At 57.3% G+C, this 22,588-nt stretch overlaps 4 protein-coding genes across 11 annotated transcripts in view, besides 14 other annotated features; 1 reads left to right on the plus strand and 3 right to left on the minus strand.

The window, feature by feature from the left end:
* The window catches only part of FAM83E (family with sequence similarity 83 member E), a 15,116-nt gene extending 14,914 nt beyond the window's left edge, over positions 1-202 (minus strand). For both annotated transcript variants that reach the window (XM_024451561.2, NM_017708.4), the window contains exon 1: positions 63-202. The gene's annotated coding sequence lies outside the window, so the exon portion shown is untranslated. The remainder of the gene's footprint in view (positions 1-62) is intronic.
* Positions 1-449: part of an enhancer, noted in NCBI's record as "H3K27ac-H3K4me1 hESC enhancer chr19:49117749-49118580 (GRCh37/hg19 assembly coordinates)", that runs on past the window's edge. NCBI's record gives its function as "activates a minimal SCP1, AML or CMV promoter by ChIP-STARR-seq in primed H9 embryonic stem cells {active_cell/tissue: H9 hESC(primed)}" and the evidence as "EXISTENCE:reporter gene assay evidence [ECO:0000049][PMID:30033119]".
* Positions 450-1,281: an enhancer, noted in NCBI's record as "H3K27ac-H3K4me1 hESC enhancer chr19:49118581-49119412 (GRCh37/hg19 assembly coordinates)". NCBI's record gives its function as "activates a minimal SCP1, AML or CMV promoter by ChIP-STARR-seq in naive and primed H9 embryonic stem cells {active_cell/tissue: H9 hESC(naive and primed)}" and the evidence as "EXISTENCE:reporter gene assay evidence [ECO:0000049][PMID:30033119]".
* RPL18 (ribosomal protein L18) lies at positions 457-4,304 on the minus strand. 3 transcript variants are annotated; one of them, NR_073022.2, is made up of 7 exons: positions 4,267-4,304; positions 2,917-3,003; positions 2,442-2,541; positions 1,852-1,950; positions 1,205-1,328; positions 1,003-1,072; positions 457-573 (listed from the first exon to the last, which is right to left on the minus strand). NR_073022.2 is itself a non-coding variant. In NM_000979.4 (7 exons), the coding sequence occupies exons 1-7, from the start codon at positions 4,267-4,269 to the stop codon at positions 498-500; spliced, it is 567 nt and encodes a 188-aa protein (NP_000970.1). In that variant the 5' UTR covers positions 4,270-4,304; the 3' UTR covers positions 457-497. The 3 variants fall into 3 exon arrangements, 2 of the variants coding, with proteins under 2 accessions (NP_000970.1, NP_001257419.1); NM_000979.4 differs by having other exon boundaries at positions 2,442-2,549; NM_001270490.2 differs by lacking the exon at positions 2,917-3,003 and having other exon boundaries at positions 2,442-2,549.
* Positions 1,282-2,112: an enhancer, noted in NCBI's record as "H3K27ac-H3K4me1 hESC enhancer chr19:49119413-49120243 (GRCh37/hg19 assembly coordinates)". NCBI's record gives its function as "activates a minimal SCP1, AML or CMV promoter by ChIP-STARR-seq in naive and primed H9 embryonic stem cells {active_cell/tissue: H9 hESC(naive and primed)}" and the evidence as "EXISTENCE:reporter gene assay evidence [ECO:0000049][PMID:30033119]".
* Positions 2,945-3,775: an enhancer, noted in NCBI's record as "H3K27ac hESC enhancer chr19:49121076-49121906 (GRCh37/hg19 assembly coordinates)". NCBI's record gives its function as "activates a minimal SCP1, AML or CMV promoter by ChIP-STARR-seq in naive H9 embryonic stem cells {active_cell/tissue: H9 hESC(naive)}" and the evidence as "EXISTENCE:reporter gene assay evidence [ECO:0000049][PMID:30033119]".
* Positions 4,046-4,725: an enhancer, noted in NCBI's record as "active region_14902". NCBI's record gives its function as "activates an Ori minimal core promoter by ATAC-STARR-seq in GM12878 lymphoblastoid cells {active_cell/tissue: GM12878}" and the evidence as "EXISTENCE:reporter gene assay evidence [ECO:0000049][PMID:35858748]".
* SPHK2 (sphingosine kinase 2) lies at positions 4,632-15,531 on the plus strand. Of its 5 annotated transcripts, none has more exons than NM_001204159.3 (7): positions 4,632-4,815; positions 5,528-5,679; positions 11,017-11,488; positions 12,818-12,967; positions 13,101-13,195; positions 13,288-13,403; positions 13,807-15,531. In NM_001204159.3, exons 2-7 carry the CDS (start codon positions 5,641-5,643, stop codon positions 14,897-14,899), a joined length of 1,965 nt encoding a protein of 654 aa, NP_001191088.1. In that variant the 5' UTR covers positions 4,632-4,815; positions 5,528-5,640; the 3' UTR covers positions 14,900-15,531. The 5 variants fall into 5 exon arrangements, with proteins under 5 accessions (NP_001191088.1, NP_064511.2, NP_001191087.1 ...); NM_020126.5 differs by having other exon boundaries at positions 4,632-4,669; NM_001204158.3 differs by having other exon boundaries at positions 4,632-4,669; positions 11,194-11,488.
* Positions 4,886-4,975: an enhancer, noted in NCBI's record as "active region_14903". NCBI's record gives its function as "activates an Ori minimal core promoter by ATAC-STARR-seq in GM12878 lymphoblastoid cells {active_cell/tissue: GM12878}" and the evidence as "EXISTENCE:reporter gene assay evidence [ECO:0000049][PMID:35858748]".
* Positions 9,290-9,529: a silencer, noted in NCBI's record as "silent region_10889". NCBI's record gives its function as "represses an Ori minimal core promoter by ATAC-STARR-seq in GM12878 lymphoblastoid cells {active_cell/tissue: GM12878}" and the evidence as "EXISTENCE:reporter gene assay evidence [ECO:0000049][PMID:35858748]".
* Positions 12,458-12,752: a silencer, noted in NCBI's record as "tiled region #2382; K562 Repressive non-DNase unmatched - State 18:Pol2". NCBI's record gives its function as "represses a minimal TATA promoter and a strong SV40 promoter by Sharpr-MPRA in K562 cells {active_cell/tissue: K562}" and the evidence as "EXISTENCE:reporter gene assay evidence [ECO:0000049][PMID:27701403]".
* Positions 12,812-13,312: an enhancer, noted in NCBI's record as "H3K4me1 hESC enhancer chr19:49130943-49131443 (GRCh37/hg19 assembly coordinates)". NCBI's record gives its function as "activates a minimal SCP1, AML or CMV promoter by ChIP-STARR-seq in naive H9 embryonic stem cells {active_cell/tissue: H9 hESC(naive)}" and the evidence as "EXISTENCE:reporter gene assay evidence [ECO:0000049][PMID:30033119]".
* DBP (D-box binding PAR bZIP transcription factor) lies at positions 15,156-22,505 on the minus strand. The gene is made up of 4 exons (NM_001352.5): positions 21,982-22,505; positions 20,706-21,116; positions 18,570-18,781; positions 15,156-16,178 (listed from the first exon to the last, which is right to left on the minus strand). Exons 1-4 carry the CDS (start codon positions 22,118-22,120, stop codon positions 15,963-15,965), a joined length of 978 nt encoding a protein of 325 aa, NP_001343.2. The 5' UTR covers positions 22,121-22,505; the 3' UTR covers positions 15,156-15,962.
* Positions 19,677-19,856: a silencer, noted in NCBI's record as "silent region_10890". NCBI's record gives its function as "represses an Ori minimal core promoter by ATAC-STARR-seq in GM12878 lymphoblastoid cells {active_cell/tissue: GM12878}" and the evidence as "EXISTENCE:reporter gene assay evidence [ECO:0000049][PMID:35858748]".
* Positions 20,567-20,876: a silencer, noted in NCBI's record as "silent region_10891". NCBI's record gives its function as "represses an Ori minimal core promoter by ATAC-STARR-seq in GM12878 lymphoblastoid cells {active_cell/tissue: GM12878}" and the evidence as "EXISTENCE:reporter gene assay evidence [ECO:0000049][PMID:35858748]".
* Positions 20,997-21,056: a silencer, noted in NCBI's record as "silent region_10892". NCBI's record gives its function as "represses an Ori minimal core promoter by ATAC-STARR-seq in GM12878 lymphoblastoid cells {active_cell/tissue: GM12878}" and the evidence as "EXISTENCE:reporter gene assay evidence [ECO:0000049][PMID:35858748]".
* Positions 22,093-22,212: a silencer, noted in NCBI's record as "silent region_10893". NCBI's record gives its function as "represses an Ori minimal core promoter by ATAC-STARR-seq in GM12878 lymphoblastoid cells {active_cell/tissue: GM12878}" and the evidence as "EXISTENCE:reporter gene assay evidence [ECO:0000049][PMID:35858748]".
* Positions 22,443-22,552: a silencer, noted in NCBI's record as "silent region_10894". NCBI's record gives its function as "represses an Ori minimal core promoter by ATAC-STARR-seq in GM12878 lymphoblastoid cells {active_cell/tissue: GM12878}" and the evidence as "EXISTENCE:reporter gene assay evidence [ECO:0000049][PMID:35858748]".

Below are 22,588 nucleotides of genomic sequence, written 5' to 3' on the forward strand. Positions count from 1 at the left end.
CAGGAGGGCCCCCACAGGCCCCTGGAGGAGGTCCGGGGGTGCGGCTCACACGCTTTCTTTACCTGTGCTCTCCCAGGGGGTGAACGCCCCTCTAGACTCAGGCTTCCCGGTCCCCGGGGGGTTGAGATTGCCTCACCTGTTCCCAGGCAGTCTCTCCCTCCCCACAGCCCTGCCAGCCTGCACCCTGCACTTCCCGGTCCACGCCCCACCCGCCATCCCAGCACCAGGGAGGGGCACAGGATCCTTTAAGAGGGGCGGGCGTGGCTGACCCAAGGAAGCCGGTGTGGGAACACCTGCCACCTGGCTGTTGGGAAGGAGGCAGGGAGCTTCCGGGGCAGTGGGGGCAGGAAGAGGGCTGGTCTTCACTGGCATGACGTCCCTGTCCCCAAACCAAATGCATTCTCACCCGCAGGAACCAATTCTCCAACCCATCCCCCAATAACACACACAGAGCACTGTCAGCAAAAATCTTTTTAATAAGAGAGTAGGATCCAGGGTTAGTTTTTGTAGCCTCGGCTGGCCCGTCGGCCTCTGGCACGCTCGAACTTCCGGCCCTTGGAGCGGACGTAGGGTCTGTGGGGAGAGGAGGGAGTGAGAGGGGGGCCCTCTTAAAGGAGGCCATTGTGGAGTGGCACAGGAACACCACAAGCCTGTCACATTCAGCCCCAGGAGAGTCAATGCTGCTGGAAAAGCTTGGCAGAGTGGGAAGCCAAGGAGCCAGGAGGGGCTATGGAAGCACCTGCCCCACCACCTGGAGGGTCCCAGCCTGGGCTGGCAAAGGCCGGTGAACTGCATGCTCCCCAGGAGATGCCTGCTCAGGCCCTGGAAAACACAGCTCCAAGCAGTGTTGAAGGGAAAAGCAGGCAGGATGAGGCAGCTGAGAGTTCCAGAAGGCCTGGGGCTGGCTGGTACGAGGGATAGGAGAAGCAGCCCAAGTGTGGCCAGGCCTGGCCCTGCAGGCTGAGTCTGGGGAGAGGGCAGGGCTGGGGGCCTGATACTCACTTGGTGTGGCTGTGCGGGGTTCCTGGGGCCTTGCCGAAATGCCGGTACACCTCTCGGCCCTTGCGAGGACCTAGGGAAGGGGAAGGAGAACCGGGTGAGACAGGGATCTGGCGCCCAGCTTCTGGCCTCCCAGATCCAGGAGGGTGAAGGCTGCCAGTAGCCACACAGCTCAGTCCAAACCCGTCGACCACGTATCACTCACCGGAGAGCAGGACAGTGCCACAGCCCTTAGGGGAGTCCAGGGCCAGCTGGTCGAAAGTGAGGATCTTGCCCCCTGCCCTGAGGATGCGGCTGCGGGCCCGGCTGGTCACGCGCAGTGCACATACCTGGTGGAGAGGACAAGGCTGGCGGGTCAGACCCCTGCGTGGTCACCCAGGGGCTGCCAGGACTCACCCTCCACTGCCTTGGCGCAGCAGAGCCCTGGTAACCAACACTATCGTTTACTACCCGGAGCACCCTGGGCTGACAGCAGCAGTTCTCAACACTTCCGGAACTTTCACCACCACATCCCTGGTGTTATGCTAGAAACTACAGCAAGGAAGCTGGGCCAAAAAAAGACCTGTGCAGAGGTGACAAAGGAGTCTAGACTTGAGCCCAGGCTGTCTGGCTCTAGGGGCCAGCACTAACAGTTTACAACTTGCCCCAGAAGAAGCTTGCCCAGGGGACCCCACCATCAACCATGCCAGAGACGACCCACACCAATCCTCAAAGCCACTCAGACAGGCAGGATGCTTGCCTCACCAGCGGTGGCAAGACTGAGGATGGACCAGCACAGCACAGCACAGCACAGCACAGCACAGCACAGTACAGCAAGGGTCTGATGGGTCTGCCCAGCCCCCGCCAGCTCACCTTCAGTTTGGGTACCTCCTGAACCCGCACATCATCAGTTATGGTCCCCACAACCACGGCCGTCTTGTTTTCCCGGCCAGGAAGCTTCATCTTCCGGATCTTAGGGTGGGGAGGATGTACGTCGTAAGTTGTTCTGGTGTTTACATTCAGCCCCGCTTGAGGCATCCCCAGGCCAGGGCAGCTGTGCCCTCTAACGGGACCCCCCACTCACACCACACCCCTTAAACCCCACAGGCCTCTCCTCAGGTCCAGCTGGGGAAAGCTCCAGATAAAAAAAAAAATGCAGACTGTTCAATAGGGCCTCCCTCAGCAGAGCCTTTGACATAAAACTCAGTTATGACTTGGGGCAATCTCCTGAAGCCACCAGGACACCTCCACCTCACAAAGAGAAGGAGAGGAGGACCAGGAGACTTGCCCACTGCCCATGGACACTCAGTTCCAACCAACAGTCCAAGCTCTACGCTCGCGACTGGCTGAGACAAACCCTTGATGCCCTGGTTGCTCCCAGAGCTCCAAGTCCTGCCTCCCTTCCAGACAGACAAGACCCAGCGGCTCCCAGGTCTACCGTGCTCTCTGGACCAGCCACTCACCATCCGGGAAAGGGACAGAGGCGGCCGGTTGGTGCGACTCATAAACAACCTCTTCAACACAACCTGGTTGAATGTGGAGTTGGTTCTTCTGGCCAGAAACCTGTATAACTGGAGGGACGGGAAGACAGTGAGAAGCTGGGACAGCCTGCTCCCCCGCAGCCTTCCAGTGAAGGGGCAAACACATGATGATCTGGACTAAAATAATCTTTATCCCTTTCCCCCAACCCACCGACCTAGAGGGAGAAAGCTGGCCCAGGTCCTTCCTGGCCAAGGACCTAGAAAATCCTGGCTCCACTCCCGAGCTGTACACAGCCTAGAGGCTGAAAATACAAATGCAGGAGACCCTGGAACAGAACCAGAGACCCGAGACTGCTCTGCAGGCCCCTGGGAGGAGCTTGGTGCCAGCACTAGAATGGAGGATCTGCAAGTCAGACCTGGGGTGACCCTTCCCAAAGACCTCAGGGCCCAGCCTCACCTTGACCAACAGCCTCAGGTAGATATCCTGGCTCTTGGGCTCCTTGCGCCGAACCTTTCGGTCCTTGTTATGGCGGATGTCCACTCCCTGTGGGGGTGAAGAGGCAACCATGGACCCAATTACCCCCAACCATAGCCAATTATTACTTATTTCTGAAACTGAGAGCTGGGACACAAGCCCAGGTCTGAACACACCAGCTCAAATCCCAGGCCCACCACCAGGAGACCTGTGGGCTGCCACTGATCCCTCTGTAAAAAGGGGCTGTTTACAAAGCCTTCAGCCCATGGCACACAGAACCCTGAAACATCGTAACACAGCAATCATATTAACTTAATACAAAAAGGTCAATTCTTTACAACTTGTATTTTGCAACAATGTTATCAAAACTGGTTCCCATACCCGGAGGGATAACCAAAAATATCAAACCAATGGCAGTAATGATGAAAACGAATCCTTATTCAGAACCTAGCAATACTACTAGAACCACCTCTCCTACAGCATCAGTCAATCCAACAACCCTTACCAAATAGTGTCTTTTTAAAACATCGTTTTTAAAGTGGAGACAGGGTCTCACAATATTGGCCAGGCTGGTCTTGATCTCCTGGGCAAGGAATCCTCCCGCCTCGGCCTCCCAAAGTGCTAGGATAACAAGCGTGAGCCGCCTCGCCAGGCTCCTACCGCCCTGCTGCCTTTCTGAGCAACTTAAGTTTTTCAGACTGTGTTGACAATTACAAGAACTATTTAATAGCTCCACTTATGCAGCACTTACTGTGTGCAAAACCCCGTGATGAGCATCTCCTGTGAATTATTTCTTCCCAAATTCACAAACTTGTCAGATGAGATTACTGTGTACCCAACGAACAGCCAGACACTGGGGCAAAGGCTCAAAAACCATCACAAGGTGGGAAGGGGCCTGAGACTCAGAGACCTGCCTGGTCCCCAAATCCAGTTATTCGGCTCTCGATCCTCTCACCCGCCGCGGCCCCCATCGAACCCGACTTTTCATACTAGAAAGTGACAGGTCCAGATAAAGGCAGCAAAGCCAAATAACTAAGAGTGGCTGCGGGTCCAGCCACCTGGGTCGGAATCCTGGCTCTGCCACTTCCTGGCTTTGTAAACCCAGTCATATCAGCCTCCGAGTACCTCCACTTGGTCATCTACTAAGTGGGGGCGGTAGGCTATGACTGACCCATCCCTGCTTTCCTGGCCCCCAGAGTAGGTCCCCAGTATCGGGAATTGCTCCCTCCGGGCAGCCGCAGACCCCCTGCCGCCCTCCAGCGTGCCCCTAGCCCAAAACCACGGCGGATGGCAGCGGATTATCCAGCCCCGAACGCCGCAAAGCGAGCTCACCATGATGGCGCCTCCTGCTCGGCCAGGTCCGGAAAGAGAGAACGGGCTGGGGTGGGCGGGGAAAGCCTCAAGCGAGTGGCGCCGCCGTGACGTCACATGGGTGCGACGCGGCGCTCTACCACGATCCGGACTTCTCTGTGGTGAGTTGGACGACTGACTAGCCGGGCGATAACGGCAGAGAGCATAGAGCGCAGGAACAAGCGCAACGTCCAAGAGGGAAGGGCCAGCACGTCGGGGGCCTCTCTGGCCCTACCCAGGCCGTGTTCTCGATAGCTTTCCGGAAGAAAGGGATCTGGGAGCGAGATGCGTGTAGCTAGCACGATGCGTCGCGCGGTGACGCTCTGGCCCGACGCCGACGGCCTCTCAGTGGCTCCCGGAGGACCCGGCGGGCCCAGTGTTGGAGGTGAGGAGGCGGGGCTGGCAGGGCTAGTCGGGGCATCTGGAAATTTCCGACCCCACGCTTCGGGCGTTTCCTTATCAGGTTCACCGCTCCCTGATCTCGCGCTGCACTTCGTAGGCGCAGCCGCTGCTTGGGAAGTCCTACTTAAGGTCTAACCCGAGATGATCTTGCTGCACCTCAATCTATAGCATCCTGTATTCCCATCCTTTGAGTTCCGCTTCTCCTTCTCCCCCGGCCCCTAGATGGCCCTTCCCTGACCTAGAAAGAGGGAGACAGAGTTTCATAGGGGAGGCAAAATGGAGACTCCGTGGCTTGGGGGTGGGGGGAATGGAGGCCCAAAGGGTAGGAAGGAGACCTAGAAAGAGGGGTGAGATGGAGACCCAGGGAGAAGTAGTGGCAAAGAAAGATGGTGAGATGGGGCCTTGCAAGGCTATAACCAAATTCAAATCCTGGCTCTGCTAGTTACTAATGGGGTGATTGGGCAAGTCATTTAACCTCTCTGTGATCTTGGGAAAATCACTTAACTTCTTTGGGCCTTACTCTCCTTATGGACAAAAAGGGGATGACAACAGGCCTGGCACACAGGGGTGTTTTTCAGGATTATGAAAGTTAATAAAACTGCTGAGGTCAATATTTTGCACATAATAAGTGCTCAATAAAAATTAGCCTTCACTCCTATTATAGCATACATATTGTGTGCAACCAGATGGACTGGCTGGGGCAGTGATTAAAATGACTTATCTACTCTTCCCCCCACCCGCCAGGGAGGCCCCTGCCTCTTGGTTCTCAGGCACATTGAGCCTGGAAGGGCCTCCTGCAGTTGGCTGTCAATGCTGCTCCTCACTTACCTCTCCTCCACAGAGCTGAAGGTCAGGCCAGGACAGTGAGACCTGACTCCTTGCTCCTACCAGCCTACTATGGCTTAAGACCCAGGGCCAGGGTCCCGTTGATGTAACAGAGCAGAGGACCAGCAGATGAATGGACACCTTGAAGCAGAGGAGCAGCAGGACCAGGTAAGGGACCATCTAAAAGCCAAGATCCTCATACTGTGGAAAGACAAAATCTGAAGCTTTTCTTTAAAAAAAAAAAAAAAAAATTGGAGGCCAGGCGTGGTAGCTCAAGCTTGTAATCCCAGCACTCTGGGAGGCCAAGGCCTGCGGATCACCTGAGGCCAGGAGTTCGAGATCAGCCTGGCCAACATGGTGAAACCCCATCTCTACTAAAAATACAAAAATTAGCCAGGCATGGTGATGCGCACCTGTAATCCCAGCTACTCGGGAGACTGAGGCAGGAGAATCATTTGAACCCGGGAGGCAGAGGTTGCAGTGAGCCGAGATCGCGCTGCACTCCAGCCTGGGTGACAGAGTGAGACTCCGTCTCAAAAAAAAAAAAGAAAAAACAGGGTCTCACTCTTGCCCAGGCTGGAAAGCAGTGGCACAATCACAGCCTACTGCAGCTGCAACCTCCTGGGCTAAAGTGATCTTCCCACCTCAGCTTCCCAAGTAGCCTCCACCATGGCTGGCTAATTTTTTTATTTTTATTTATTTATTTATTTTGAGGTGGAGTTTCGCTCTTGTTGCCCAGGCTGGAGTGCAATGGCACGATCTTGGCTCACTGCAACCTCCGCCTCCCGGGTTCAAGCAGTTCTCCTGCCTCAACCTCCCAAGTAGCTGGGATTACAGGCATGCGCCACCACACCCAGCTACTTTTGTATTTTTCATAGAGATGAGGTTTCTCCATGTTGGTCAGGCTGGTCTCAAACTCCCGACCTCAGGTGATACGCCGGCCTCGGCCTCCCAAAGTGCTGGGATTACAGGCATGAGCCACTGCACCCGGCCAATTTTTTTATTTTTTCTAGAGACTAGGTCTCCCTCTGTTGCCCAGGCTGGTCTTGAACTCCTGAGCTCAAGGGATTCTCCCACCTCAGTCTCTCAAAGTGTTGAGCTTACAGGCATGAGCCACCGCGCCCAGCCTGGGAGCCCTTCCATAAGTGATTTCAGACCTTCTCTCCAGGCAGGTGTTCCAGTGGGATAATTTAGGAATCAGAGAAACTGAGGGGTTGAGGAGGATACTTATTATTTATTATTTAGGTGCACTGGCCCAGTCAGATTAACATCGAAAAAGACTGAGCACCGAACAAAGAGTCAAGTTACATTTTAAGTATTTCGTGGGGTAGGGGGAGATCTGTGCAGGGGGAAGCATATTATAGCAGCGAGAAACAAAGACAGTTATTCAATTGAGACATGCATTACATTATTTCTTACTTTTCAAGGAAAAACATGTTTTAGGACTTGAGTTTATCCTGTCTAGTGACCTTGCAGCTGCACAGTTAGAGAAACAGGGTCTTCACGATGCCTGGGAAAGGGAGTTAGATAAGGCTCACTAGCCACAAACAGAAAAACAGGCAGTTAATTTTTAAAGGACTCAATCTCGGGCCGGGCGCAGTGGCTCACGCCTGTAATCCCAGCACTTTGGGAGGCCGAGATGGGCGGATCACGAGGTCAGGAGATCGAGACCATCCTGGCTAACACGGTGAAACCCCGTCTCTACTAAAAATACAAAAAAAATTAGCCGGGCATGGTGGCGCGCGCCTGTAGTCCCAGCTACACACGGGAGGCTGAGGCAGGAGAATGGCGTGAACCCGGGAGGCGGAGCTTGCAGTGAGTCGAGATCGCGCCACTGCACTCCAGCCTGGGCGACAGAGCGAAACTCCGTCTCAAAAAAAAAAAAAATAAAAAAAAATAAAGGACTCAATCTCTTTCTCTTCCTCAGGGGGAATTGGGTTTTTTACATACAACTGAGTTTTTGCTTACACATTCTTTAATTTCTTTTAATTCCTGTTTCAGTGTGAATAGCTTTCTCCCTACTTCCCAGACAGGACAGCTGAGGCCAAGAATTCAGGGGCTTCCCAGCAGTCACACAGCAAGTGTGTGTGAGCTGCAGGGTCCTTTCTCCTTTTCCTCCTCCCTGTCCTCTCGTCTGTGTGACTTAGGCTCTATGTTTGAATCTCAGCTTCTTTGCCCAGTGTCTCTGCCTTTCCTTCTCCCAGGGCCCCAAGCTCAGTTGCTGTGCCCCAGTCTCAGTCTTACTGGGTTTCTGTTCCCCCTTCTCTCCGTGTCATTCCTTGGCACATACTATCTGGTGCTGTTGCTACTGTGGGTTGGATGCTAGGTACATGATTTGGCAATAAGCAAACTTCTTCCTACATTTGTCTCTCTTTTTTTTTTTTTTTTTTTTTTTTTTGAGACAGAGTCTTGGTCTGTTGCCCAGGCTGGAGTGCAGTGGCATCATCTCGGCTCACTGTAACCTCCGCCTCTTGGGTTCAAGCGATCTCCTGCCTCAGCCTCCTGAGTAGCTGGGATTACAGGTGCGTGCTACCACACCTGGCTAATTTTTGTATTTTTAGTAGAGATGGGGGTTTTGGACCAGTGAGGTGGCTCACGCCTGTAATCCCAGCACTTTGGGAGGCTGAGGCGGATGGATCACGAGGTCAGGAGATCCAGACTATCCTGGCTAACACGGTGAAACCCTGTCTCTACTAAAAATGTAAAAAATTAGCCGGACGTGGTGGCACGTGCCTCTAGTCCCAGCTACTCAGGAGGCTGAGGCAGGAGAATCGCTTGAACCAGGCAGGCGGTTCAGTGAGCCTAGATCGTGCCGCTGCACTCCAGCCTGGGTGACAGAGCCAGACTCCATCTCAAAAAAAAAAAAAAAAAAAGAGAGAGAGACGGGGGTTTCTCCATGTTGGTCAGGCTGGTCTCGGACTCCTGACCTGGCGATCCACCCGCCTCGGCCTCCCAGAGTGCTGGGATTACAGGCGTAAGCCACCACGCCTGGCCTACAGCCTACATTTGTCACTTTCTAGTGAGCTCTGTCCTTGTCTCCTAATGCATATCTCTTTCTCTCTATGCAATTCTGTTTCTAAGTCTCCTAATATATACTTGCCTTTCTTTCAATTTCACCATGTCTTTGCCTCGGTGCATCTGTCAACATCTTCACTTTCTGTCCCAGTTCCTCCCAGCCCCTGGGCTTCCAATATTCTCTCCCTCCCTCACCTTTGACCTAGAGATACTGTCCCCATCTCTCTGTCTCTGTCTTGCCATGTGACTGGTTCATTCACTGGGCAGATGTTTATCTCATGCCGCTTCCATTCTGGTTTGAGCCTGAGATAAATAAGTCTGAATTAATGAGCCTCTCCTTCGCGGCTTCCATTCCAGAAGTGTCTGTCTCCATCTGTCTCCGTGTCTGTCATTTTCAGGGTTTTCTTGTATCCTTACCTTGCACATTCTCAATCCCACTGTTTTGGTCTCTTGTTTATATCTCTGCTTTTCTCTGGGTCTCTCTGACTCTGTAACTGTCCGAAAAAAAAGTATCCTTCACTTTCCCCACTCTCCCTCTCCTCCCAGCTCTCTTATTGCCTCATCCAACCTCTGTGGGTCTCTGCCTTGCTCTGTGTCTGGATCGGATCTCTGGGCCTTTGTTACGCGTGTTAGAGTCTCTGTCTTTGCAGCTAAAGACCTCCTCCCTCACGCCCCTTTTCTTTTGTGAATTCAATGGATGAGACAGGCCCACTCTCCCTTAACAAAGATGGCGACAACGGCGCTGTCTATGGGGCCGCGACGTCGTCTCCGCTGCGCGTCGGCCCTCACCCACGATGGCGGCCAGTCTCCCGAAGCGCGAGGCCCCGCCCAGCTCTCGGCCTCTCCCGCGGCCGGTCCCTGCACCAAGCTCGCGAGCTGACTGGCTCCACCCCCCGCGCCCTCGTATTGGTGCGGCCCAGGCCGGCTGCACGGCCATTGGCTGAGCGGATGCACACCCTCCCCCCACCCCTAGGTCTGATGGGGGCTGTTGGTGCTGACTTGCGGGACCGCCTGGAGGAGGACCCGGCGTGTGAGGAGGGTGCGGGGGTCGGGGCAGGGACCGGAGTCTAGGGGACTGAGGGACCAAGAGGAACAGAGACTCAGGCCCGGGACTGGGGCACCGGGGTGGGAGATGGAAATGGAAAACCTGGGCCAGGACTGAACCCAGCCAGGCCTGGGACTGGGTTCTGGAAATAAGAGTGCGGATGGCGGTTTGGGGGCCCAGGGCCAGACACGCAGGCCTATGGATTGGGGACCAATGGATGGAGACCCAGGTCCAGGTCTCGGGGACCCAGGGACAGAGACCCAGGCCCAAGACTGGAGGACATCTAGGGCTCTGTGCTTGAACCTGATTTGAGGTTCCCATAATGGGGCCAGGGCAGGTTTGGGGGTGAAGCAGACGTCCTGGACCCGAGAGAGCCGCTGGGGATAGGGGGGCAGATGTAGTTCCTAAGGGTGAGTCCACAGGCGGTGGGGGGTGGGGGGCTGTCCTGGCGCTCTGGGCCTGGGGAATGTGAGGGGCAGGACTGGCAGGTGGCTGGGCGGGGCAGTGGGGAACAAAGGTGAGCGAAAGGAGGAGGCAGAATCCGGGCAGAGGGCAGGGAGAGGGCCTGTGGGGAAGGGACCTCAGTCCTGCTCCCACCCGCTCCCTGGAGAGCAGGCGGCCAGACACCCAGGTCAGTGCTCAGGGACCAGCTCTTGGCCCCTGCCCCTTGCAGGCGCTCGCATGTGGCTCCTCTCGGACCCCGTAGTCCCTGTCATATCCCTTCTCTCCAGCTGTCTCCATGCCTGCCTCGTACCCCTCCTATTTGCTCTCCCTTCCACTCTGTCTTGCCTTTCTCGTTGGGGTGAAAAAGTCTTACTCTCTTAAGTATCTTTCATCGCCTGAGTTTCACCTCATTGACCCTGTTTGTCTCCTCTCAGTGTTTCTCTGGCTCTCAGACCCTATCTCTATTGCGTTTGTGATTGTTTTGCTGTTTTACCCACTGCACCGTATGGGGGGTGGGGGTGTCGGGGAGGTGTGTCTTTCAGTCTTTGCATGTCTGTTTCTGCATATCCAATCCCACTATCCATTCCCCTTCCTGTGCCTTCTTTTCCCCCAAAGCCCGTTATCATCACCCAACCACCTGTATATTTCAATCCTTTCTCTTGTTTATCTATTCCTATGAAGGCAAGGATTTGGGGCTATTTTGTCTCCTGCTGTGTTTGCTAGGCCTAGCACCGTGATTGGCACATAAAGGGTACTGAATACTTACTGGGGAATAAATGATTGGATGTTTGCATGCCCGGGTCTCCGGCCCCCTCTGGGATGCTGGCCTCTGTCCCGCATCCTCAAGGTCTGCCCACACCTGTCTGAGCCTGTCTGTCTCTGATGCTCCTGTCTCACCTGCCACTGCCCCTCATTGTCTCCTCCTGTCCACAGCCCCTGCCCCTCCCTGCCCCTGCCATGGGGTCCTGAATTCTCACCCCTTCTCTCCTCCCTTCCCACAGAGGCCAGACCAGGAGCTGACCGGGAGCTGGGGCCACGGGCCTAGGAGCACCCTGGTCAGGGCTAAGGCCATGGCCCCGCCCCCACCGCCACTGGCTGCCAGCACCCCGCTCCTCCATGGCGAGTTTGGCTCCTACCCAGCCCGAGGCCCACGCTTTGCCCTCACCCTTACATCGCAGGCCCTGCACATACAGCGGCTGCGCCCCAAACCTGAAGCCAGGCCCCGGGGTGGCCTGGTCCCGTTGGCCGAGGTCTCAGGCTGCTGCACCCTGCGAAGCCGCAGCCCCTCAGACTCAGCGGCCTACTTCTGCATCTACACCTACCCTCGGGGCCGGCGCGGGGCCCGGCGCAGAGCCACTCGCACCTTCCGGGCAGATGGGGCCGCCACCTACGAAGAGAACCGTGCCGAGGCCCAGCGCTGGGCCACTGCCCTCACCTGTCTGCTCCGAGGACTGCCACTGCCCGGGGATGGGGGTGAGGTGCTGGGCAGCTGCTCTATCCTGGAGCCACCTTGGTGTCTCTGCAGAATTTCCTCCATAGGCAGCTGTGTCTTTATTTTTCTGTGTGTCTGGGTGATGTATCTCTCTGGATCCGTTAGGAGTGATACACAGGGATGGGCTACAGAAGGAACAAAAAGACAAGAGGACCGGATGTGGTGGCTCATGTCTGTAATCCTAGCAATTTGGGAGGCTGAGGCGGGTGGATCACCTGAGGTCAGGAGTTCGAGACCAGCCTGGCTAACATGGTGAAACCCCATGTCTACTAAAAATACAAAAAATTAGCCGGGTGTGGTGCTGCGCACCTGTAATCCCAGCTACAGGAGGGTGAGGCAGGAGAATCGCTTGAACCCAGGAGGCAGAGGTTGCAGTGAGCTGAGATCGTGCCATTGCACTCCAGCTTGGGCAACAAGAGCAAAACTCTGTCTCCAAAAAAAAAAAAAAAAAAAAAAAAAGCACAGGCAGAGGTCGCGTGCAGTGGCTCATGCCTATAATCCCAGCACTTTGGGAAGCCAAGGCAGGCAGATCACCTGAGGTCGGGAGTTCGAGACCAGCCTGGCCAACATGGCGAAACCCTGTCTCTATTAAAAATACAAAAATTAGCCGGGCATGGTGACGGATGCCTGTAATTCCAGCTACTCGGGAGGCTGAGGCAGGAGAATCACTTGAACCCGGGAGGCAGAGGCTGCAGTGAGCCGAGATTGCACCATTGCACTCCATCCTGGGCGACAAGACCGATACTCCATCACAAAAAGCAAAACAAAACAAAAACGCAGGCAGAGAAAAGTGATTTACATCTGCTGTTCTCTTGCTAGATTTATGTTTCTGTCTCCTATCCTCTTCCCCTTTGCATGGGTCTTGACCACAGGTGAGTCACCCAGGGTGGTGAGAGCAGCAGCCTGAGACAGGACCAGGTACCACCCAGAGTGATGGGTGCCAACAGAGGTCTAGGGCTTCCCTGGAGTTCAGAGGTGGCATCTAATCCTGCCTGGGGCCCCTAAGGGCTGGAAGTAACCTAATCCTGGGTAATAGGTGTTTGGGGTGAGGAAAGTGGGAACCACAGCTCTGAACTACAGCTCCTCCCACACATGGGGACAAAGGGCATTTGGTTTCACACCTAAGCCCTGCCTTTGTCTCAGCAGCTAGGAGTTGGGGCAGGGCTGCATACCTAGGCCTGGCCACATGAGAGCCAGCAGGTCCCAGGGGCCAGCCCTCCACCAATTCCGTTGGGGGCTGATGAAGGGACTGTTTCCAAGGTGGGGGGCCTGGGTCACTGGCCTCTGCAGACCCTAACCTCTCTCCACAGAGATCACCCCTGACCTGCTACCTCGGCCGCCCCGGTTGCTTCTATTGGTCAATCCCTTTGGGGGTCGGGGCCTGGCCTGGCAGTGGTGTAAGAACCACGTGCTTCCCATGATCTCTGAAGCTGGGCTGTCCTTCAACCTCATCCAGACAGGTAAGGGCCAGTGAGAATGGGAGCTGGGGGCTGGGACAGCTGAGTCCTAAGGGAGCAAAGTGGTGGGTGGGACTCCTGGGTCTATGGGGCTGGGGTGGGACAGCCTGCCTAACAGCCCGGTATCCCACTTCAGAACGACAGAACCACGCCCGGGAGCTGGTCCAGGGGCTGAGCCTGAGTGAGTGGGATGGCATCGTCACGGTCTCGGGAGACGGGCTGCTCCATGAGGTAGAGCAGGAGCACCCTGCCCCTAGCCCTGGGCCCTGGGGGACTATAGAGACTGCCACCAGGACCCAGGCTTCTGGTCTCCCACCCTCCAGGTGCTGAACGGGCTCCTAGATCGCCCTGACTGGGAGGAAGCTGTGAAGATGCCTGTGGGCATCCTCCCCTGCGGCTCGGGCAACGCGCTGGCCGGAGCAGTGAACCAGCACGGGGGGTAGGTTGAGGATACCACGAAGGGAGGGATGAGCCCCTCCTGGGGTGATAGGGACCCCTATATCTCCCACTCAGCCAAACCCACAGTCAGTCAAGTAAATCAGCCTGCCTGTGGGATGCTCACCCCCAGCTCCTGGACATTTTTGCCTGCCTGCTTCCCAGCTGTATCCCGAGCGCCCAGAACTCTGCCTGGCATGGGAGGCACTCAGTGAATTGTAGGGAGCAAATGAAAGATGACCAGGAACCTGGCCCCGTAAGGAGTCGCCTGGAGGTGGCCCCACGGCTGTGGTGGGCCTGGGCCATGGCCTTCGTGGTCTCATTGCCAGCTGCTTTCCTACCTGTCTCTTTCCCCAACCCCTGTTTGCTCCTTCCTTCTGTGTGTCCGTCCATCTCCGGCTGTGAAGATTTGAGCCAGCCCTGGGCCTCGACCTGTTGCTCAACTGCTCACTGTTGCTGTGCCGGGGTGGTGGCCACCCACTGGACCTGCTCTCCGTGACGCTGGCCTCGGGCTCCCGCTGTTTCTCCTTCCTGTCTGTGGCCTGGGGCTTCGTGTCAGATGTGGATATCCAGAGCGAGCGCTTCAGGGCCTTGGGCAGTGCCCGCTTCACACTGGGCACGGTGCTGGGCCTCGCCACACTGCACACCTACCGCGGACGCCTCTCCTACCTCCCCGCCACTGTGGAACCTGCCTCGCCCACCCCTGCCCATAGCCTGCCTCGTGCCAAGTCGGAGCTGACCCTAACCCCAGACCCAGCCCCGCCCATGGCCCACTCACCCCTGCATCGTTCTGTGTCTGACCTGCCTCTTCCCCTGCCCCAGCCTGCCCTGGCCTCTCCTGGCTCGCCAGAACCCCTGCCCATCCTGTCCCTCAACGGTGGGGGCCCAGAGCTGGCTGGGGACTGGGGTGGGGCTGGGGATGCTCCGCTGTCCCCGGACCCACTGCTGTCTTCACCTCCTGGCTCTCCCAAGGCAGCTCTACACTCACCCGTCTCCGAAGGGGCCCCCGTAATTCCCCCATCCTCTGGGCTCCCACTTCCCACCCCTGATGCCCGGGTAGGGGCCTCCACCTGCGGCCCGCCCGACCACCTGCTGCCTCCGCTGGGCACCCCGCTGCCCCCAGACTGGGTGACGCTGGAGGGGGACTTTGTGCTCATGTTGGCCATCTCGCCCAGCCACCTAGGCGCTGACCTGGTGGCAGCTCCGCATGCGCGCTTCGACGACGGCCTGGTGCACCTGTGCTGGGTGCGTAGCGGCATCTCGCGGGCTGCGCTGCTGCGCCTTTTCTTGGCCATGGAGCGTGGTAGCCACTTCAGCCTGGGCTGTCCGCAGCTGGGCTACGCCGCGGCCCGTGCCTTCCGCCTAGAGCCGCTCACACCACGCGGCGTGCTCACAGTGGACGGGGAGCAGGTGGAGTATGGGCCGCTACAGGCACAGATGCACCCTGGCATCGGTACACTGCTCACTGGGCCTCCTGGCTGCCCGGGGCGGGAGCCCTGAAACTAAACAAGCTTGGTACCCGCCGGGGGCGGGGCCTACATTCCAATGGGGCGGAGCCTGAGCTAGGGGGTGTGGCCTGGCTGCTAGAGTTGTGGTGGCAGGGGCCCTGGCCCCGTCTCAGGATTGCGCTCGCTTTCATGGGACCAGACGTGATGCTGGAAGGTGGGCGTCGTCACGGTTAAAGAGAAATGGGCTCGTCCCGAGGGTAGTGCCTGATCAATGAGGGCGGGGCCTGGCGTCTGATCTGGGGCCGCCCTTACGGGGCAGGGCTCAGTCCTGACGCTTGCCACCTGCTCCTACCCGGCCAGGATGGCTGAGGGCGGAGTCTATTTTACGCGTCGCCCAATGACAGGACCTGGAATGTACTGGCTGGGGTAGGCCTCAGTGAGTCGGCCGGTCAGGGCCCGCAGCCTCGCCCCATCCACTCCGGTGCCTCCATTTAGCTGGCCAATCAGCCCAGGAGGGGCAGGTTCCCCGGGGCCGGCGCTAGGATTTGCACTAATGTTCCTCTCCCCGCGGGTGGGGGCGGGGAAATTCATATCCCCTGTTCGTCTCATGCGCGTCCTCCGTCCCCAATCTAAAAAGCAATTGAAAAGGTCTATGCAATAAAGGCAGTCGCTTCATTCCTCTCAGACCTTCTGCCCTTCCTCCATCCGACAGCCCGCGGGAGGACTCAGACTCCAGCACTTCCAGCAGCGCCTGCCCTCTATGGACGACAGCCCGGAGCTGCCCACGGGCTGCAGCCAGTATGCCAGGGAGCTGCCCTCTTCTTCCACAACAGCTGGCTCTGGGGTTCTCAAGATTTATTCAGGATCGTGTTAACGGAGGCGGTGGGAGGATAGGGTCCCTGACGTGCCGGGGACACACACAGAGAACCCTCCCCGCCCCCGCAAGGGAGGGGGGAGGCTCGCTTTTTCTTAAAAATATAAATGTATTTATCTGCATTATCACGTCCCTGGGGCACCCAGCTGGCCGGCCCGTGGGCCACAGGGCAGGAAGGGAACAGGGCGTAAGTCTCAGCAAGGCGGAGGAGAGCTCCGCCAGGTGGGGATGTGGGGCAGCCTCACAGGGCCCCGTGCTGGGCCTGGTATCGGGACAGCACGGCGCGGTAGTGGGACAGCTCCTGGCGCACGGCCACAACTTCCTGCCGCAGCAGGGCGTTCTCCTTCTCCAGGAAGGCCGCCCGCACCGATATCTGGTTCTCCTTGAGCCGCCGGGCGTCACGGGACCGCTTGGCTGCCTCGTTGTTCTTGTACCGCCGGCTCCAGTATTTCTCATCCTGCAGGAGAAGAGGGGGAGAGCACTGAGGTCCAGAGGGACCCAGGTCCCAGCGAGAGAGGAAGGGAGCCCCAGCAGCGGGGCCTAAACCACACCAGGTCTCTGCTGGGATAGGTACCCAAGGGTCTGCCTTTCTAGGGCCCTGGTTGCTAAGGAGATTGGGCCCCTAGCAACAGTAAAGGCATGAGATAGACCCCCCACCCTCAAGCAACTCGCTTCAAGTCTCCACTCTGCAAAGCGGACCCCAGCCCTCCCCACATGATAAAGGCCTGCATGCAGTTAGCTCTTGCTTGCTAAGGATGCTTGTTCCCTAGCAACAAGGCCTTCATGGTCTGAGGGCTTCTCCCAATGAAGAGCACTGCCCTGCCCTGCACATTGCCTTTCCAGATCCTGGTTGCTAAGGAAAGCTTGGTGCCCTGGTGATGGGGTTTGGTGTCCCATAAAATCCTCGCAGAGCTGGGGCCTTCTGACCTGGTTGCCAAGGCAACCTCATCCATCCTTGGCAAACAAAAGTGAGGTCTAAGTGGTTTCAATGACTGTGGCCAGCCTCTGACCTGCTGGCCTTGAACTGAGGCCAGAGAATAGCCTCCTCCCCAGTAGGACCTGACTGAGAGAAGAGCTGTCTCTTAGGAAAGGGGACTATCCTGAGACCTCCCCAGAGGATTATACCTAAAGTCCTCCCATCCTGGAAGTTGGTTCCTAAGGAAGACTCCTCCTTAGTAACCAAGGACCACGGGGCTCAGAAAGATGCTCTCTACTCCACTATTTAATTAAAGCCCAGTTCCTGCTTGTGAGGGTAAATCCAGTCCCTAGCAACAGGGCCCTCTAGAAGGAGAAACCACTGGTGTAGATCTGACTTCCAGGCCAGTCCTAGGTGCTTCAAGTAGCTATGTGTTACGCAAGGGTATGGCAAAGTCTTGTTTGTTTTTGAGATGGAGTCTCGCTCTGTCGTTCAGGCTGGAATGCAGTGGCATGATCTCGGCTCATTGCAACCTCCACCTCCCAGGTTCAAGCGATTCTCCTGCCTCAGCCTCCCAAGTAGCTGGGATTATAGGTGCCCGCTACCATGTCCGGCTAATTTTTGTTCTTTTTTTTTTTTTTTGAGATGGAGTTCTCACTCTGTCGCCCAGGCTGGAGTGCAGTGGCGCGATCTCGGCTCACTGCAACCTCCGTCTCCTGGGTTCAAGCGATTTTCCTACATTAGCCTCCCAAGTAGCTGGGACTACAGATGAGTGCCACCATGCCCAGCTAATTTTTGTATTTTTTTGTAGAGACGGGGTTTCACCATGTTGGCCAGGATGGTCTCCTGATCTCGTGATCTGTCCGCCTCGGCCTCCCAAAGTGCTGTGATTACAGGTGTGAGACACCACACCCGGAACATTTTTGTACTTTTAGTAGAGGCGAGGTTTCACCATGTTGGCCAGGCTGGTCTCAAACTCCTGACCTCAAGTGATCCGCCCACCTCAGCCTCCTAAAGTGCTAGGATTACAGGCGTGAGCCAACGCGCCTGGCCCGGAATGACAAAGTCTTGTAACAGAAGCCCAAGCAACTCTTGCTAGGGAAGACTCCAGTAATGGCAAAAAACAAAATCATGCAAAGATGCAATGACTGCTCAAATCACCCCAAATCAGAAAGTGGCACTGGCTGCTAACAGAAGCCTGAAGTCTCCCACCAGTGAGAAGTCCAGGCCCAGGAAACAAGGCCTAAAGGGGCTGGCACAGTCTTCATCCTAGCCAAATGCAATCACTCCAAAGGAAGTCCCACATCAGAGATCAAAGGCCTGCTGAGTAAGGAGAGACAGGCCACAGGCTGATATCCCATTGCCAAAGGAAGACTGTCCTTTGCAAGTGTGCCTGGTGGAGCTCTGGACCCAAGTAATAGGAGAAGCTCCAAGTCTCTACAAGTAGACCTAGCAGAGCTGGCTGAGTCAGCACCCCACAGTGACACTGTCTTTTGTTTTAAGACAAGGTCTCCCTCTGTTGCCCAGGCTGGAGTGCAGTGGTGTAATCTTGGCTCACTGCAGCCTCAATCTCCCAGGCACAAGCAGTCCTCCCACCTCAGCCTCCCAAGTGGCTTGTAGAAATGGGGTTTTGCCATGTTGCCCAGGCTGGTCTTGAACTCCCGAGCTCAAGAGATCCTCCTGCCTCAGCCCCCTAAAATGCTGGGATTACACGAGTGAGGCCCCTCGCCCAGTTGACACTGTCTTTATAAACCTCAGGCCCCTGCCCCCTTGTGCCCCGTGGCCAAGGAGGACTAATCTGTGGCTGCAGGCCAGGAGAGGCTGAGCACTAATCCCAAGGAGAAGCCCAGGCTTGACTGTGAGAAAAGGCCCCTCCCTGGCTGTGGGGCATGTCTCCAGCCAAGTCTATCTCCCACATCCAGCTCTGCTCACCTTCTGCTCCTCCGGCACCTGGATTTTTCTTGCCTTCTTCATGATTGGCTGGGGCTTAAGTTCCTCTTCTGAGAAGCGATGTCTTCGAGGGTCAAAGGTCTCGTGGCCAGGAATGCTTGATAGGGCAAGATCAGCTGGGTCGGGTTCAAAGGTCATCAACACCTCCACGGTGTCTGGGTCCACAGGGCTGGGTGTGTCCCGAGAGGTCAGGCCTTGGGGAAACAGCACGTGTCAGCTGAGTGTGTATTTTAAGGAGGGGGTTTCCTGAAGCTACTTTTTGCTGTGGTATCATAGCCACATGGAAAGTCCTTCTGGGATCTAGCATAAATTCGGCCAGGGATTAATCTCCCTAATATAAAATATGAAGGTTCCCTTGGCCAGGCGCAGTGGCTCACGCCTGTAACCCCAGCAGTTTGGGAAGCCGAGGCGGCGAATCACCTTTAGTCAGGAGTTCAAGACCAGCATGGCCAACATGGAGAAACCTCATCTTTACTAAAAGTACGAAAATTGCCCAGGTGTAGTGGCGGGTGCCGGTAAGCCCAGCTACTAGGGAGGCTGAGGCTGGAGAATTGCTTGAACCCGGACCCTGGAGGTGGAGGTTGCAGTGAGCTGAGATCATACCACTGCACTCCAGCCCGGACAACAGAGCGAGACTCCGTCTCCAAAATAACGAGAAAAATGAAGGTTCCCCTAAGCCATAAAGATGCTTAGAGATCATGGAGCCATATCCACCTTTACAAACAAGGAAACTGAGTCCCAGTCATAACTGACTTGCCCTAGGTAACACACGAATCAGGGCTATTGCTTCTACACTTGATCTTAGCCAAAAGGCCGAGAAGCGATGGGGCTATTGCTTCTAAAACCTCAGGACTTCAGATGCACAGTCTAGCCTGAATCCTACTTACCGAATCCACGACCTAAGCTTAGACCCCAGACTGTCCAGAGAAAAAGAATCTACTGCACTGAAAAGCTCTCAAGTTAGAGTCTAAGAGCTACTCGCTGGAAAGAGGAGGAGAAGCTGCTCTAAGGTTCCAGAAGATTGGTTCGAAAGGAGGCGCCTGTACCTTTAAGCACCAGCCAGCCGGGGCCAGCTAAGGACACAGGTTCAGGGCCGAGTCACGTGCTGACGCCTGCTTCCCTCCTCCTCCCTTCCTCCCAGGCCCCCGCCATCGGCGCCCTCACGTTCCCCCGGCCCCGCCCCCCTCGCGCTTGAAGGCGCCTGCGCGAAGCGCGGAGGAGGGATGGGAGGACTCACGTGGCGCAGGAATGTGCCGCTGGGAAGGGTAGGGCCCTGGTTCGGCCCGGAGGTCGGACCTGGAGCAGGTGTGCCCAGGAATCCCCGACCTGCAGTCCGTCCCTGGAGACCTCAATGTGCCCAAAGGGAAACATCTTTCCTCTTGCTCTTCCAGTCACTTAGTTCCACTCAACCTCCAAAGATTCCCAACCCCCTGCTCTCCGGGGAGCATCGGCCTCCTGGACCTTCCCAGAACCCCCGCCACTGGGCTACCACGATTCTGGGATCCCAGGCCTCTCCTAGGAATATAGGAAGCTTGGCCCCAGCCCCAATTGGAGGATCCAGAAACAACATCCCTAACGTTTTCCCTTCTGAAGAACTCTGGGACCCGGGGCTGCAGCACGCCCCACTGGGGGACCCAGGGACCTGGGCTGCCAGTCTCTTATGTCCTGGGTAAACAGAATTCTGTGCCTCTCCTTTGCCTTTGCCCCTGTAAAGGACCTAGGGGCTCCAGTCCTATCCCAGTTCCATCGATTATGGGCCCAGATTCGGGGGTCAGTCCACTCCCCAGTAAATAACTCTGGTGTTCCGGACTTCCAGTTCTGGCTTCACGAGTATCCACATCGTTTGTCCCCAAGTCCCACAGAAAAACCCACAAAATCTCATTGGGCAGGCTTCCTGGAATTTAGGGTTCCAAGTCTCTCCTCCCCCATGGATCCATTGGTCCCTGACCCATTAAGAGACACCGAATCTGGCCCCCTCCCACGACACCTCTCGACAACTGGACACAGAATTCGAGGCCGCAGCCAGGTCCCACGGTCCCAGCCCCCAGCGTCGCACAGCCCCGCCCCCTGAGTCCAAGCCCCGCCCCGTCAGGACCCGCCCCGCCCCCTTCGCCGCACCTGCGCGGTGGCCGCTGGCGGTCCCGAGGGCAGCCCGGGCGGGGGCGTGCCCAGGAGAGGAGCGGGGGGAAGCCGAGCCGCACGAACCCGGCCCTGGGGAGGGTGCGGGCGTCCGCGCGGGCGACGGCTCCGGCGACGGGCCACCGGGGGGCGGCGGGCTGGGCGGGAGCCCGTGCTCCAGCAGGAAGGCGTCCAGGTCTACGTACTCCACATCGCCGAACGGCAGCGTGCGCTCCCACAGCAGTGGCGCCAACAGACCCGGGGCGGGCACCGGCCCCGGGCGCCCCCGCGGGGACCCTCCGCCCACCACTGCCCCAGCCGGGGCATCCGCCGGGCCCGCAGTCTCCAGGCCTGGCCCAGGGGTTGTGGCTGCAGGCAGGGCCGCCTTGCGCTCCTTTTCCTTCAGGAGACCTGCGGGCCGGGAAAGACGGGTTGGGATGAGGGTGAGGTGGGGGAGATAGAGATGGAGAAGAGACCCCGAGTCCGAGAGGCACAGGGCGGAGATCCAGAGAAAGAGGGGACGGGGGGTCGGAGAGGAGAGACGGGAGAAAAAGGGACGGAGACGCAGAGTGGGAGAGAGACCCAGAAAGAATGGAGACGGGGGTGGCAGAGACAGGTGGACAGATTCACAGAGATGGGGACAGAATGCCGGGAAGGAATAGACACACAGAAAGACAGCGAACCAGAGAAAGAGAGACGGAAGTTCAGGAATAGGGGGGCAGGGACAGGGTAGGTGGAGGGTTGGGCAGGTGAGAGAAAAAATGACAGCTCTGTAATTTCACTGTAATTACCCAACCCCCATCCCCTGCGCGCTGTACCCCCTTCCCCTCCCCCACCATCTGTAAGGGGCAGGAAGGGGCTCTATTCCTGGGGCACATCCCTCATCCCTAGACTCCATGTGACCCCATGACGCCCCGCCCAAGCCCGTGTCACCACCGTGTGAGCACCCGACACACCCCCTCCCTGGGACCCCAGGGGTCCAGACTCCCGGACCAAAAGGAAGAGGAGGCTGGGGCCTACACTCTTGTGAACTAAGCGGGGAGGACGTTGGGGACGTTGGTGCCTGGGTCCTTAGGGTGGACGGGCTTCAGAGCCGGCGCTTTTGGGTCCTGGGCGCTAAGGGATCTAGGGGCCTAAACACCTGAGTAATTGAGTAGATTAAGGTTGGGAAGATGGACTCCCCGCACGCAGGTTTCTATGGGACCCCACCCCACGGCACCTGAGTCCCTAAGGGGGTAGGGTGTCCGAAGTGGGTGAGATGGGGGTTAGAACTCACAGCTGGCCGGCTCTTTGGGCTTGCTGGTCCCCTGCAGAAGGCTCCGCAACCCAAGCAGCGCTCCCCCGCCAGGGGGTGTCCCGGCCGGGCCGCCCAGCAGCAGAGGGGCCGGGGTCCTGTCGCTCACAGGCCGCGCCATCGCCTGGCACCTGCCCCCAGGCTCACGGGTTCATGGAGAGGCGAAGGGCTGGCCTGCCAGTCACCAGCACACTCCAGTGGTTTGGACGAGTGTCTGCCCAGGGGCGGGCGAGTGTAGCCTGCAACCCTCCAGTATCCAGAACGCTGCAAATCCTAGGAGCGACGGGGATTTGAGGTCCTCGGTGCAGAAACGTGCAACTCAAGAGGGTCCCGGGAGATCATGCAATCTGGGCGAGGGGGTGTCCAGATCAAGCGGTCGGCTCTTTGCAACCGAGGGTGAGAGGGGACTCAAGGCGCTCCTTCTACAAGGTGGGCGAGCCTGGCTCTTGCAAAATCTGCAGCTCTCGCAACGGAAGGCGCTTTGCAATCTGCACCGAGAGGTGTGCGCGGAGGGGCGGAGGAGGGGGCAGGAGGAGGCGGCCGCCTTGAGGCGTGGCCAAAGCAAACTTCTTTCGCGGAAAAAAAAATC

The sequence above is a fragment of the Homo sapiens genome, chromosome 19 (assembly GCF_000001405.40).
Source record: "Homo sapiens chromosome 19, GRCh38.p14 Primary Assembly".
In the NCBI taxonomy this organism is placed as follows: Eukaryota; Metazoa; Chordata; class Mammalia; order Primates; family Hominidae; genus Homo; species Homo sapiens.

What these genes read in the sequence shown, in the direction of transcription:
- RPL18 (NM_000979.4), bottom strand. An exon ending in CTCTGTCCCTTTCCCGGATG is followed by an intron (nt 1,951 to 2,441) that starts GTGAGTGGCTGG and finishes CCCCACCCTAAG; the next exon opens with ATCCGGAAGATGAAGCTTCC. An exon ending in AGGAGGTACCCAAACTGAAG is followed by an intron (nt 1,329 to 1,851) that starts GTGAGCTGGCGG and finishes CCTCTCCACCAG; the next exon opens with GTATGTGCACTGCGCGTGAC.
- SPHK2 (NM_001204159.3), top strand. Translation starts at nt 5,641, where the DNA reads ATGAATGGACACCTTGAAGCAGAGGAGCAGCAGGACCAG. An exon ending in CAGAGGAGCAGCAGGACCAG is followed by an intron (nt 5,680 to 11,016) that starts GTAAGGGACCAT and finishes CCCTTCCCACAG; the next exon opens with AGGCCAGACCAGGAGCTGAC. An exon ending in GAGACGGGCTGCTCCATGAG is followed by an intron (nt 13,196 to 13,287) that starts GTAGAGCAGGAG and finishes CCCACCCTCCAG; the next exon opens with GTGCTGAACGGGCTCCTAGA.
- DBP (NM_001352.5), bottom strand. Translation starts at nt 22,120, where the DNA reads ATGGCGCGGCCTGTGAGCGACAGGACCCCGGCCCCTCTGCTGCTGGGC. An exon ending in GCCCAAAGAGCCGGCCAGCT is followed by an intron (nt 21,117 to 21,981) that starts GTGAGTTCTAAC and finishes CCCGGCCCGCAG; the next exon opens with GTCTCCTGAAGGAAAAGGAG. An exon ending in AGGTGCCGGAGGAGCAGAAG is followed by an intron (nt 16,179 to 18,569) that starts GTGAGCAGAGCT and finishes CTTCTCCTGCAG; the next exon opens with GATGAGAAATACTGGAGCCG.